The following is a 15140-nucleotide window of genomic DNA, read 5'->3' as shown; positions in this document are numbered from 1 at the left end:
TCCTGACGGAAGGGAGATCAAACACTATTTTTTCTGGATCCCTCCTTCTGGTTTATGAAACTACCTGAAACCTTTTAAGCCCTTCTGATTTATCAAAATTACTGAAACCTTTTAAGCCTCTTGCCTTTCCCGGTCCTTTACAATTCTTATATATTTCTGTTAAGGGTAAAACTTGCACTTAACAGTATATTTTGGGATATGTTGGGATTCTCTGAGAACAATTTTTTTTTCTCCCCTAAACTCAGGATCTAATCTTGGAAAAGCAAAATCAAAAGGTTTATCACAGGGGATTTGTGTGATTCAAATAGGATAAAAGTGCCTAGAAACAATAGCTTGGCTAATTGTTAATCAGAAGGACAATGCAAATTTTTAAATCAACATGGAAGTAACATGATTGCTATGAACTGTAGATCTTTCAGAATCAAGAACTTAACAAAGACAACAACAACAACAAAAAACTCAAAGTATAGAAACTTATGGTGGTAAACCACATCCCTGTTATCTGAATTTATTACAGAAGGTAAAAAATAACCTTTTACTAATCTTTGCTGAGAACAGAGTAAATGCTGTAAGACCAATGTATTATTTTAACAGTTATTAAAAATATGTCGAATTTACATTAACATAATATGTAGTGGCAAATAATTTACATGCTTTCTTTTCTTTGATATTATTTTATGAATAAGTCTATCAACTTACCAAAATTTCACACATTTCATTATTTCCTTTCAGGCTCATTATTTTCTGGTGTTATCAAACTGAGTCAGCTCTCACCTCTTACACAACTTGTACTCACTTAAGTTTTGTCTTTCACCATACCTTTTCATATTATAAAGCGACCAGACACTTTACTTTGAAAACTTCTTTTTTAAAAAATTTCCACTTGACAAATGAAGAACATAATCCATAACTTAGTTACACAGTTGAACTTTTCTCCCCCATTGCTTGTATAAAGTGTGGAGCACCCATATGAATTATAACACAGAGAGCTAAGAGGTAGATATTTGAGATATATCTATCATTTATAGTCATTTTCACAGATATGCAAAGCTCATAAATGCCATCACACAATCTCCTACTGTCATACTCATTGATATTACACTTTATTATTGTGGGAAAAAGTACTTACATTATAATTACTCAAAGATATAGCCATGCTATAATTCTAACAGGTTGGTGATTAGTTTGTCAATACCCTATCTTACGTAGAAATTCACCAGTTATCTAAAAACGATCCATTAAATCGACTTAATTATGTTTAACCTGACAAACTACAGCACATACTTATTGTTGACATAAAAAGATTTTGGTTGAATTCATAGTTTTATGTCTTTCTCAGTGCTCGACATTGTTGTTAGCAGTAAACGTTTATAATACGTTTAAGTTTAGATTAATTCGTCTCTTCATGAGGACATTAAACCAAATTTTATTTAAAAAATAATTGTAATCTTGGAATATACTTAATATTGGTAAAATCAGGGAAAGATATATAGTGTTTTCAAACCAAAATTATAAAAAATGTCATAGTAGTTTGAATATTTACCTTAATTGCATAAACTTGGTTTATATCCTTATTCAAGAATGCTCTGAGGTTGTATCTTCTACAAATATTGCTATTTTTTAAATAAAGTATTAGCACATTTAAATTTTTTAAATACAGGTGTTTTTTATTTTTTTGGAATTCTGGGAACGTTAGATGAATGTGATTATTAACTTCTCAAAGCAATCATAACAGAACTCATTATTAGAGATATTATTGTATAATTTATTAACACATCGTGGATATAGGAAAACATCTGAAAGTTATAGTGAGAGATGAAGTCCTTTCTAAATTAAATAAACACAGAAAACACAGAGAGCTTTCAGCTTCCATTCTTCAACCTCAGCCTTGGGTCAAGAGTAAACAAACACAAAAACTCACTGCTTCAAATGTGAAATTTTTCTTCTCTTTTTTTTTCCTGTGTATGAAATATGTTCTTGCACAAACGAATCAATACAAGAAACTACAAAATACAATCTCTGTTGCCTCTCATCCAGTGGATAATAGAGAATCGTAGTTAGAGATTACCAAATGGTCAGCAGTAGGATTCACTATCATTGCCGTCACCAACTAGGAATAACTTATTTGCTGTGTGCACACCAGAAGAAGAACCAAACAAGTAGGCTAGGAACCAGAAAATAGTAACACAAACATAGAGTTGGGATAAGAAAGAGAAATAGAGAACTCTTACAGAAGGTAAAGTTCTAATATTGATAACTTCTATTGTTTGAAATTGACTCCTGGGACCAAAAAAAAGTGTGCCTTTGCTTAAATATTTCTAGTAGGTAAATCACCTCTGGGAGGCATAAGCGTGGAACCTCCAAAACTGTCGAAGAATAGTTATGAAAAGGTTTGAAACATCACACCTGTACAAATATAGAGTAAACATATGTTAAAAATTTAACTCATTAATAAGGAAAATAGTGAGATGGAAAAACTGCTTTAAAGGAAAATCAGAGGAACGTGACCTTCTGAAGCTAATACTGTCCAATAAGGTAATGGCACATTAACCTTTGAGGTTATCATTTCTTTTGGGGAGAAAATTAACATGTACTTCACAGAAGTCTAAGAACTTTAATTAATAGTAAATAGCAAAGTCAAACACAAATACATTCCCTTAGGTAATTAAATAATCCTTTTGTGAGCCTGTCAAACAGTCCCTAGTGTATATTAAAAGAACATGCCACCTACATTTTTATTTTTTGCCTAATTTCCAAGTTTTGCATAATTTTTCATAGCAGTGCTAACAGATAAAAATAATAGATGTCATCTTTAAAATATTCATGTTAAAATTAGTTTTCCAAAGCCTACATAAACAATAAGTTTGACTACTGAGTAGATTATACTTGTCATCTAGTTCATCTCCCAACAGGTTAAATGGCTTTACCAAGAATCTACAGCAAGTTATAGGGAGAAGAGCTGAAAGATAAATGAGGTGAGATGAGCCTGGAAAATACCCAGTTTTATGTTATTTCTTTTTTCTGTACTTTAATTGCTCTTTAGCCTGTTTCTCCTGATCTCCTAGGGCACAAAATGTATGGGTATGTATGCATACAGAGCATTCCTGGAACTTAAACCTAAGGATAACTGTGTTGAAACTGCTGACAGGATAAAAACCTCATGTAATTAAAACTGCCAATCACAATCAGGACATATATTAATGCTGTTTTTTTTAAAGTGGTTCCATGTCATCTGTTGATGAATTTGCAAAACAATTATGATTACATTGACAGTGAAGAGGTATGTATATGAATCAGTGTTTAGAATCTAGATGCTTATTTCCGTCTTTGCTGAATTGAATATTTTAGATGGAATTAAAAGGGAGCTATAAATTTTGCAAAGTTACTGCCAAAATATAGTTACAAATTTTACAAAAAGCATTTCTTGAAAAGCATATTCTAGATTATTTTGTTTAGCAATTTATATTTTAGAGTTTTGGAAAAACATTATATTCAATATAATTAATTCTTCTTTTCTTTTGAACTGTCATAGAACTTCACTCTGTAATCTTATGTTTTTAGTAAATACAGACTTAAGACTTTTTAATTTATTTTTCTTAGTTTTTATTTCTTTCCATATTGTTATTAATGTTGTTTACACAATATGGGACAAAACCTTTTGAATTTAAAGTTATAATACAGAAAATATTTTTATGTATCCTGTATTTTCTGACCAAATAATTTAGTAGTTTTTTTGTTGGCACCACATCTATTGTGTACTAAATACACTGGAAAAAAACAAAATATATATAATTTAAAATTCCGCTCTTAATTTTTTTAATCCAATGATCATCTATCGAAATGGACTTTGAGTCACTAAATAAATTATTTTGAAAGAGAATCTTTTTATGAGATTTTAGTTTATTCCAACCCCTTAACTGGGACATGATTTCTAAAGGAAACATATTTCAAATTTACGTAGTGGATTTCAAAATTAATTAAAAATTTAAGTTTAAAAGATGACTACAATGAGAAGTTATGCTGGTAAATCCTTTCTGATAATATTGTTAAGAAGTTATATTCATCTGAAGGATGTGTTTCTACTTAGTTTTTCACAATGCGTGCCTTTATAACTAAAATGTCATTTTTTTAAATGACATGTTTGCTTTTTTGCTTTTTTTCTTGTCCAATTTACTGTCCACGAAAATACTACTTATAAGTTAATAAGAAAAACGAAAAAGTAGCAGGCAAAAAAAAAGTTCTAAAATATTACCATAAGGATAATACATCAAAGAAATTTTAATGGAATTTTCATCACTTCATGTTGCTGGACATGTGTAACTACTGCACATATATTAAAGTGGTCCCTACCCTTTAGGAAAATGCATAGGAAAGTGTTGCATAGTAGCACATGAGATGGATAACCTTGACAATTGTAAAAGGCAAGTGATGTTCATGACCAACATACTTTACACATGACTGTATATGAGCATTTGATTTGTATCTGTTGATATTGTGTGAGAAGAAGTTTAAATTTCTGATGGTTTAGTTTGACGCTGGCAAAAGGCAATGCAGAGAAAATATCACCTTTACTCTTCTAACCTCTATTTTAAAGTGATCGGAGCTATGCCATACAGAGTTTCTTTAACTTTAATAAGTATATCCACTGTCCCTAATAATTTTCTCCATTTACACTAACATCTACAGGGGTTGATGCAATTTTGTGCAACTGAAAGCTTGTCAAATTTGGAAGCTCCACTTTAGGAAAAATAATTCATAATTTTGGATATACCTTTAGGACAAAAATTAATATTTGTGTAGAATGAGAAAATAAGTCACAGCAAATTACGGAATTTAAATTTTAACAAATAACATAGTTATCATGAAAACCCAGGAAAATAGCATAATATTTGTGTTCATTATCTTTCTGATAATCTCTATAATCTTTTTCTCTCACATTTTTGTATTTTTGCTTTTTGATCACCTAATCATATGATGAGACTTTTCTAATATTTTCTAGAGTGAGAATAGTTTTTGCTTTAGCCTGGAATAATAAAAGTGTATTTTTTATTTTTGATGTTATAGGATAGTTTCCTTTAGCTTTACAACTCATTATTGGTGTGTGATTTAAATTTATAGTATTGTCATTCCATTTGGAAACACTTCCCATCAAATTTCTTACATACATACTGTAAGGTTTGGATTTGTTTTCATTAGCTAACTAATGGCTCTGTGCATTGAGCCTGTTGCTCTTTACTACCAGAATTGTGTAGTGCTGGGCATGTGGAAGTTCTTCTGGGATATGACCTCTGGCCCTTCATTTCCTGTCCTACACTGGTGGATGTTTGGAAGCCTTTCCTACACCAGAGCGGCTTGCTGAACATCTACTGGATCCAGTTTTAGTATGGGTTCTTAAAAGTTTTACTACATAGTTAGGTAATAGTCAAAATTAACACAAATGCAATTATCAAACAAACCCAGTCAACCAGGATTGAAAGTGTCAAACAGTGCAACAATCAAGGCCATTCTTTGTCATGATCAAGAGCACAGAGCCTGGAGTCAGACTGACAAAGGTTTGAGATTGATGAAAGATTGTCAGGTGACTTTTTGGTCTCTCCTACATAGTCTGGAAATCAGAATTTGGAGCTTTAAACTTTAACATGGGTAGGATGCCAACTATGCTTTAAAGTTATTTTCTTTGATGCAGAAAGACATAATTTTTAGTATATCATAACATTAATTCACACCATTAATCTTTTTTTCTCTGCATATTGAATCATAGGACTTCTTTTCACAACAATTTTTGTTGTTATAATGTTATTTTAATGTTACTAATTAGCCCTGCAGAACCCCTATGACATCCTTTGGCATCGTCTCCCATCGTCTCTCTCTCTCTTTCTCTCTCTCTCTCATTTTAATAATAACTGTTGTATAAAAATTGCATGAGGAATAAGTTCCCAACTCCCGTGATCTGCTTATAATAGCTGTACTTTCTTCATATAGTCTTAAGAGGCATGTCTAGTTTAAGTACCTTCCAGAGAAGGTGTGTATTTATGCAAAACTTTTCAGGGGCTTGTTAAAAGTGAAGCTTTTGCATGATTTGTATAAGAAAGTAATTAGGATATCTATCTAAATGATAATAAGAATTCAATGAGTACAGATTGGCAATTCCACTTTGAAGATTATGGAAAGATAGAGATTTTATATTTTAAAACAATTTGTTAGGAATATCAAAGCAGAAAATATTCTAGATTTGGATGAACAACCATATATTTTGTTTAAAAAGCAAGAAATTGCCCCAGATTACTTCTTGCATTAGCAATGTATATATCAAAGACTCCGGAAAAGGAATTTTTTTTTTTTTAACCACTAACCACTCCTTGCAAAAATAAGGAGCATTAGGACTTTCCTCCCTACCCTTTACTTTTTTAATTCTACTAATTGTTCACACAATTATAAAATATGTAGAAGATTGTTTTATTATGTTTTTATCTGTTTGTTCAGTGATAGTGTTATATAGTAAAAGAACACTGGTTTGGGATTAAGCTTAACGGTGTTTTAGTCTGAGCCTCAAGAGACTTTATTCATACTCTTTAACCTCTATAAACCTCTGCTTCCTGCACTCCAAAATGGGACTAACTATACTACCTTGCCTACTTCTAAGTTTGCTGTGAGTATCAAATGACAAAATGTGTATGAAAATGACAAGCCAATGTGTCATCCTTGCAATTACCATAGTTGGTTAGAAAGATATTAAGCAACGGTTAAACTTTTAAATCCTGTTTTACTTGTTTTTATTATGATAGAGTTCTTTCTTCTATTATTTATAGAGTTATATATATGTATCATCCGTATCCAAACTAATATTAATGTTATGGCAACTTGTGCTTTTTGAGTCTTTCCAAAGATTTCAACATGATTTTCATAAAGCATATCAATTTTTTTCACTCACATTGTGTGACATCAGGTTAAAAAGTTACTAACTTAAATTTCTTAGAAATATTGACTAGAAGAATATATAACAATATAAAATGTAGAGACGAGTATGAAATATATTTAAAACTCATTACGATACTTTAGTTCATTTGCTATTTGTACAAAGGAAGCTCAAGTAATTTCAGTACCTATGGCAAGATTTATACATTCTGTAATTAGATATCTTTTAAAACCTACGGTGATAATTTTCTTAAAAATTGGTCTTAAAGTAACATTGTTAACACATTGGTAATAAGAGTATTCATTGCCTTTGTTTTCTTTTCCCCTCATTTTATATACAATTTTGTTAATGACTGTAGATTTAGTGGTATATGTGGTAGCTCATGTAATGCTCTAGTATGCTCAGTTTAATTATAGATTTTTTTAAAAGGATAATTGCCAAGCTTATTTGTCCTGCACAACATCATTGGGAATACTTTAAAAAGTTTTCAGGGAATCAGAGAAAACCAAACTAAAGATAATGGCCTCAGAACCCAAATTATTTTTACTCTGTCATGAATTTTGCTAACAAAATCAAAATAATGAGTACTAACTGACAAGGACCATTTAATAATCTACCCAGCTAAGGTTAGCAGTCAATATTTTACATGATATTTCACTGATAACTTATTTATCATATTTTACATGATAACTTAAGATTCTGTGGGTCTTAAGTTATGCATATTCTCTTTTATTACTTTAATAAATATTAAACCACAACATGATGTAATTTTAGCTTATTACTAAGTATTATAAGAGCACTTAGAATATAACTTTTTACAATTACCAAAAATTTTTTAATGTCTTATCAACATGAAATACTTAGTCATTTATTTAGAAAGTATAAGTTTATTAGTGGATTTACTGTGTCCTGATTTAGGTCAGTTACCTTAAAAATACGTTCATTTGTCTGTTTTTATTAATGCTACATGCCAAACTAATGACATTTAAAATCATAGGAAAAAGAGATTTGGCATTTGATTTATATTTCATGGCAAAATGCACAGGTTTGGGTAATCTCAGGTTCTTAAATTCTTTCCACATTAAATAGTGAGCTAATTCTAACTTTTTTACTGTACTTCTTCGTGTTACTGCATTAGGTTTTTGAATCTGCTTGGATGACTCCCGAAGAGCAGTTTAGTCTTTGAGAAAACCAGATCTCCATTGCTTCCATGAAGATCTTATTAATATTTAGATAATGGAGAGTAACGAAAAGAATTTGGACATTGAATATGTCTTTGTCTTCTAGCTATCATTCTCCCCAACTTAATCTGTGACCCTGAGAAAGTTACTTCATTTCTCTTGAGTCCTCAACAAATTTTTCTTACACAGTATATGCCATCTTAATTATCTTAAGTATGTACTTGATCATCTCTAGAGGTTCCTTTCTAGTCTTAGGTTGTAATAGTCTTTGTCATACTGGAAAAACATTTTTAAAAACCATCAAAATGTATTCTTTTTTTCTACACTGGAATTGACATATGGCACTATAAAGATCTTGTGATGGTAGAAGTCATACATTTGAACATGAGAATATTAATGACAGCTTGTAACCACAGTATTTCTTATCCTATTCTAAGAAATAATTTTAGTTATTAAGCTGGTTTTTTTTGGTATGTCTTGAGTTTATTTGAACGATTGAAGTATTTGGAATTGCGTCATGTAATAGTTCACTGCAAAATTAAAGTAATTTGTATGAATGAGAAATGGAATCAGTATGGTAAACTCATTTCATTGTGCAAAATATCTTTTGCATGGAAGGCTTAGTTCTATTAATAATTCAAGGAAATTTTTAAAATAATTCATTATACATTAAAAAAACTACTAAGTGTGCTAACATCTTGGGATAGACTACGGGGTAAGAAAGAAAAGAGAATATGGACTCTCCATTTAATTATATGTTATTATCTAATAAAACGAATATATGCCTTTATCTAATAAAAGAGGTATAGTGATATTACTCCCATTTTCCAGGTATCAAAATGGAGACATAGAGTGATTATGAAACATTACACAGCTGACGAGTGGCAGAGCCAGGATTCAACTCAGCGTAGCTCCGAAATCCCCTCATTATTGTGTTACACTGACTCCCACCTAAAACTAGATTTGGGGCATAAGCTTATAGGCTGTTAAAAATAGTGAGTTTTTGAACATAGGACCATGTCTTCTTTAATTCTTTCTTTCCAAAGTGAATGTTCTTATAAATCAAACAAGAGAGTATCTTAGAGAAGGGAGTCAATTCTCTCAGTTATTGGGAGAAGAATAGACTCACATATGTCCTGCAATAGGCATTTCTGGATAAAATGTCTCAGGATGTGTATTATATTTAATCTACTATGATGCAATGACATTGTTTAACTTAGATACCATGTGGATACTCCTTATGTTCACTAAGGGTACGTATAGTCTTTTGTTACCTAGGTCATAACAGAGAAGCCTTTGTGTACCATAATCTGACTCTCTAGCTATAATTATGTATCACTTTTATTTCTTTCACACAACTCTTTATATATACAACTTAAACATATATGTCTATCACAGGACACTATTCAACAGAAGACACCTATAATATAGGAGTGTGCTGTTGAGAGGATCAGGAGACTCTGATTTCTGATTTGAAAGAGGAACTATGAGAAAACTAGAAATAGTTTTCTTGCCCAGGGTGTTCACAAACCTTTTTCTATAGTAAATGTTTTAGTCTTTGAGCCACATGGTATCTCTGAACTCAACTGTGACATTGTAGTATGAAAGTAGCCATACACAATAAGTAAATGAATGGGTATTACTGGTTTTCAATAAACCTATACTTATAGCATAGACATTGGCTGTCTATGGAACCATAATTTATTAACCCTTGCTCTGTTAAGTAAAAGCCTTTACAATGGATAGAAATAAGACAGACATAACTCACACAAAAAGGCACTTCTTGTCTACTTCTTTTCTTTACAAGAAGCCTAAGGTATGAGCACCTAATTGCAAACCATACCACGTTCACAAATGAGATCATGATGTAAATAATGGAAGAACCAAATATGGTGCTTAAAATAAAAATGGTACCCAAAAATATAAGTCCTTGGGAATATAGTGCAAGAAGAAACACCAATCATTCTCCCTTCTGCTGCAGTTTGGGATTTTGTTGACATTGGTATTTCATGTTTATTACATGGATTGAAGGCAACTGAATTCATGTTAGTTACATTATATTTACAAAAGTTCAATTTAATTTCTATTCAAATACTTAATATTATGAGTGCCTGACTACATTTCAGATATTTCCAAAAGGATGGAAGTAAGAGAATAGGCAAACTGAAACAATCTTTTTTGAAAATATTTTTGTAACAGGTTTCTATAAGAAGGTGTGGGTACAAGTGTTTACATTTTGTGTGGTTAGATCCACCACAAGATTATGAGTATCTTAAGAACAGGTCCCATGCCTTATTCATTTTTGTGTCATTCCCATTCCCCATAACAATACTTGGGAAAAAGGAGTTAAATGTTTTTGAAGATGAAATAGTAATTAAAGTTCACATGTATATTGATATGTCTTTTCTGCAATAGTAAACTAATCCCATTAAGATATATATTTAAGACAGATTTTTGTAGGCAAGTATGCAGTAGTCTTACATGACCATATATTTATGGAATTCAATATATGCACACACAAACTTTAATGGAGTAAGTTTTGACCAAAATCTAAGAGTATGATAGATAATGCCAAATACAGAAAATATTCATATATATATATAGTAGTTGGTGGTGGAGACAGATAAAATACATAGTATTTTCCGGCCAAAAATATTATGGTGATTCATTGAACTTTTTCACTCATGAGCATGAATTTTTTAGCTCAAAAAAAAACCATGAAGCATAATTTTCTATTTTTCACATTCATTTTAGAGGGAAGAATGATACAGTTATTTCTAGAAATAGTTGTCTAAGAACAATGAATTTCTTCTCTTTATGATAGGGTCCATTTTAAATTATGTTCATTTATGTCCAATTCTTGAAGAAATAAGGCCAAGCTTTGAATTTATAGTCCGCAAATTTTCTTTTTTAAAAACAAACTAGTTCCTAAGGAATGCAGATTTTTTTAAAAGGCAACCAAAACCTAAAAAACTTCTCTCCTTTTTTGTCCTCTTATTGCTTAAAAAAGTACATGAACATACTGTTTTTAAATTTAGGCTTTTAAAAAATTGTCCTCATGCTGAGTTCTTGTTTGCCAAGTTTCAGCTTGGAGAGAATTTTTATAGCTTTTATAAAACCCTGAAAATAGAAAATTTTAAATGGAAATGCTTACACACCCTTAGTGACAGCCACAAATCTTGCCACTTTTTGAGAATGAAGGTAATTTTTTAGTATTTAGGGATGGTAGCAACACGTTGATGCGATAGTTTCTAAAGGACAGAGCTTTTGTTTAGTCGTATGTTAGATATGTTACATTGGTTTATCATATTAAGATTCATATTAAGATTTAGCTGTATGTTCATACATTTCGTATGTGATATAAAAGTTTTAAATTTTAGAGTGCATTTGTCCTCTACCACATATAGTTTATATGTAGAAATATGTCTTATCCATCTTTTTGATATGTCACCTATTATTTAACTTGACTAGCAATTTAACTTGCAAGCGATTCACCCTAGAAGTTAGATTTATTGTAGTTGAATAAACTGTTGTCCTCTCACTTTTATCATATAAACCAAAGGGTCAGTTGCCCTTTGGGGAAACCCAGAATATGTCAGATCTTTGTCAGGTCGCTGTGGGTCTTTGTCAGGTCCCAACTCTGTCACAGGGATTTTAGGCAACTAGAACCACAGGTGTCACTTCCAAAATTGATAGCTTGTTATACTGCAACCAGAGTCAATTTTAGATTGGAGAAGAGAAAGAAAAAGATAGGAAATGATTGAAGCTGTGGGCACCAAGAAAGGGCAGTGCTGGAAAGAGAATGAATGACATAGACACCCAATAACAGGGAGCGTTGGTCATTTTTGCATGGACCAAAACAAAATTGAAGAAGTACTGCTGATCAAAGGCCAATACAATGCACACATATCATTCTGGTTAGGTTGTCTCCTGAGAAAAATATTTCTCAGCAGCAGTATGATTTATTTTGAACAATATCTGATTGAACAGCATTCTAGTAATGTAGAAAATTTATAGACATCTACTAAATTTTATTCTAGCAGATAATCCACATTAAAAGAGACAAAAGTCCATGTTTTACCTAGAACCTCTCTGTGGCTCCTTTTCTCCACCAGAAAGACAATAATTTCATATCTGGCAGAAGTTAATGCTTTTTAAGTTCTTGACGTGTATACTCTGTGGAAGAAGTGACCTAAAAGGAAAACCAAATAGTTTGATAAAGGATAACTGTAAAGAACAAAAAAAGTAAAACAAACTACTATAAGACTAATAGTCCTTGAGACAAGCGCATGAATTAGTGATGAAGTATTGCTTTACTACATCCTGAAAATTCTTTACATTTATTTCTTCAGTTGAATGAAGCTTTCTAATATCTGTGTCTGGAACTAATTCTGATAACCTTGGCATTCAAAATGGAGATAAAGGATAGATAGCCTTCCACAAAACGCTTCAGTATGGCAAGAAGAATCATCTAATATTGACAAATAAAGCAACGTGACATCTGTGTTGAATTCCAAATTGACTTGTTGAGCTGTGCAAAAAAGTAAAAGAAGGTGCTTATTTTCAGGATGTGAAATACATTGGGAAAAGCCAAGGTCAAAGATGAAACATGACTCAATGCCAAAGATTTTCAATCTTAATGAAAATCTCTTTCAATAAGAAATTGACGATTGAGAAACAGTGTCATTGTTAGAAGTTCGATGTTCTTTTGGGGGTCTAACAGACGAAGCCCCAGAGAACTGACTTTTATTAATAGATAGCTTAAGATTTATAGCTTAGGAAGAACAGATTAATAGTTTTTGGAGTAAAGCCTGAATTATAGAAGGATGACCTGAGCCCTGGCATGAGTGATCAATCAGTTCAGTGTCTGCAACTGCACAATTTTAAGAACTCTTAAAAGGCTCTTTGGCCACTGAAAATGCATTATAAAGGATAAGTCCATAACCAGCCAAGTCTGGAATATATGTTTATATGGCTATACAGATCCAGTGTTTCTTTAAAAATAAAGCAAAGGGTATGACACAGGTTGGTTTGCTGTTACTTAGGATATGTACGATTGAATTGAGCCTAAGATAAGTGGGATGTACTGGGTAAAATGTGGATGCTGGAGGAGGATGCACAGAGGCTAATTTGAATCCAGGAGATTTTTCCATTTAGGAAATAGAATTGGAGTCAGGGAAGTAAAAATCTTGAATACAAAGCTAAGAAATTGAATTTTCCTTGTTAATCAGGGTTCAACCATTGATGTTTACAAATGAGAAAAATGTTTCATGCAGGTTAATCCTACTGCAATATTGGCAGGAAAGGTGGAGGTCAGCGGGAAGAGACCTCTGGAAACCTGTTGAAGAATGAGTACTTCCAGGGTAAAGCTACAGCAGGCAGGACAGCAGAGTGGTGGCCTAGGCATTGGAGATAAAGGCAAAGATAAAACACAGATGGAAGGAAAATTCCTAAGGCACCATGAGACACTGGATATTGAGTGAGAGAGAATCCAAAGAACGAAGAATCACTCACGTCGAGCTCAGCCTACTAGGACGTCAATGGGTTCCTTATTTGTTTTCTGTAACTCTCTTCTCAAAATGGATCAACTTCTTTCAAACTTCCCTAGTGCAAATTCTGGTTTGGTTACTTTTCTTTTCTGTAAAATGATAAGAACATTAATTAGTCTTGAAGGAACCATTTACTGCATTGCAGATGATTAGAAAATTGACAATACCAACAAAAATTGAATTGGATTCTTTAGGTTTAATATTTGGCCTAAACTAACATATTTCACCTGCCATGTGCCACACTCACTGATTATTCCTGAGATATTCACCAAACCCTTCCCCACACTTGGCAGTGAGTTCATTAATGACAGGTATTTATTTTTTATCTGTCTCCATAGCCTCAACACTTAATAACATTCCTAGCACTTAACAGATGTTCCATAAATGATGATTAAATGAATAAATAGAAGCCTAGTGTGATTCCCAGCTTTGCCTGGAATAGGTCCTGCTCCAATAGGAACTCTTATACCTCTTTAAAGAGATAAGGAGTTCGGCTTCAGGGAAAACACCTTGTAGACTCCATTTATCATTACTTTTCTAGGTTGTTGTCATACAGGAAAAAAGAAATGATCTGACACATTTCTTTCCAGCCTTACACACTAATACAGTATAAGGAGCCACAGAGAGGAATTTTAAGATTTTTTTTAAGGGAGAGTATTTGATTGGCCAAGATGTTTGTTTAATTCAAGAGAAGGAAAGCCCCAAATGCTGCCTAAACATAAACTCACAATTCAAAACATTTTAGAAATTATCTGGCAACTTTACATAGAGTCCAAATGTTTCCAGGGTATGCAGAAAGATGCCCCAAAGTCTTAAGTACCCCCAGGGAAAGTAGATCAAAGTTTAGAGACCATTTAGACTCACTTCCAAAAGGATCTGGCCTCAGAGTTTTGCAGTAGTGAGCAAAAATTCTAGAAAGGTCTAGGTTCAGAAACCATAGCAAAGTTACAAGAGAAAGGTTTTCTAGCTTCTGTTTCTTATGCCATTCAACAAGATTTAGAAGGAAATGCAGCCAAATTTAATGGTCGTTACCTGATGAAAAACAGACATCCTTTGGATTATCCTCAAGCAGAACTGAACAGAACTAAATGCAATTAGAAGACTCCACGGAGGCCAAGATGATCAGATGATCGAGGAAAGCAAACTGATATAAAATATAAGCTCACCATGTTAGGTAACTCATGTGTTTCCAACATGGTGCTATTAGAGGAGCATTAGAGAAATTTACTGTATCATGAAGTGCACATTCGTTTCCTCGGCTGAGGACAGTACTACGACAATATTTGACAGGAAATGTAGAGAATTTTTATTTCAGTCAACTCTAAAAAGAATGGCGAAATTCTTGAAGCTGTGTATGATGATTCTCTATTAATATTCTTTGTTCAATCTTTAAAATGGCGTTTATTTCTCAAAGGAAAGTTCGTGCCATCAATATTGATTCCATTATATTTGTGATATACATCAAGTTTTATCTTCAGAGTGAAAAGTTCTTTG

The 15140-nt window shown here is 32.2% G+C and overlaps 1 protein-coding gene and 1 long non-coding RNA gene across 5 annotated transcripts in view; one reads left to right on the top strand and one right to left on the bottom strand.

Annotated features, from left to right (window-relative positions):
* The window catches only part of TRPS1 (transcriptional repressor GATA binding 1), a 260480-nt gene that overhangs the window by 145638 nt on the left and 99702 nt on the right, over positions 1–15140 (top strand). The window lies entirely within an intron of this gene.
* On the bottom strand, positions 12013–13735 carry TRPS1-AS1 (TRPS1 antisense RNA 1). The gene is made up of 2 exons (NR_186605.1): positions 13612–13735; positions 12013–12289 (listed from the first exon to the last, which is right to left on the bottom strand). It is a non-coding gene; the product is annotated as a TRPS1 antisense RNA 1 (long non-coding RNA).

This window comes from Homo sapiens, chromosome 8 (genome assembly GCF_000001405.40).
Source record: "Homo sapiens chromosome 8, GRCh38.p14 Primary Assembly".
Lineage (NCBI taxonomy): Eukaryota > Metazoa > Chordata > Mammalia > Primates > Hominidae > Homo > Homo sapiens.
Note: the sequence above shows the minus strand (reverse complement) of the source record. Positions and strands in the feature narration are given on the sequence as shown.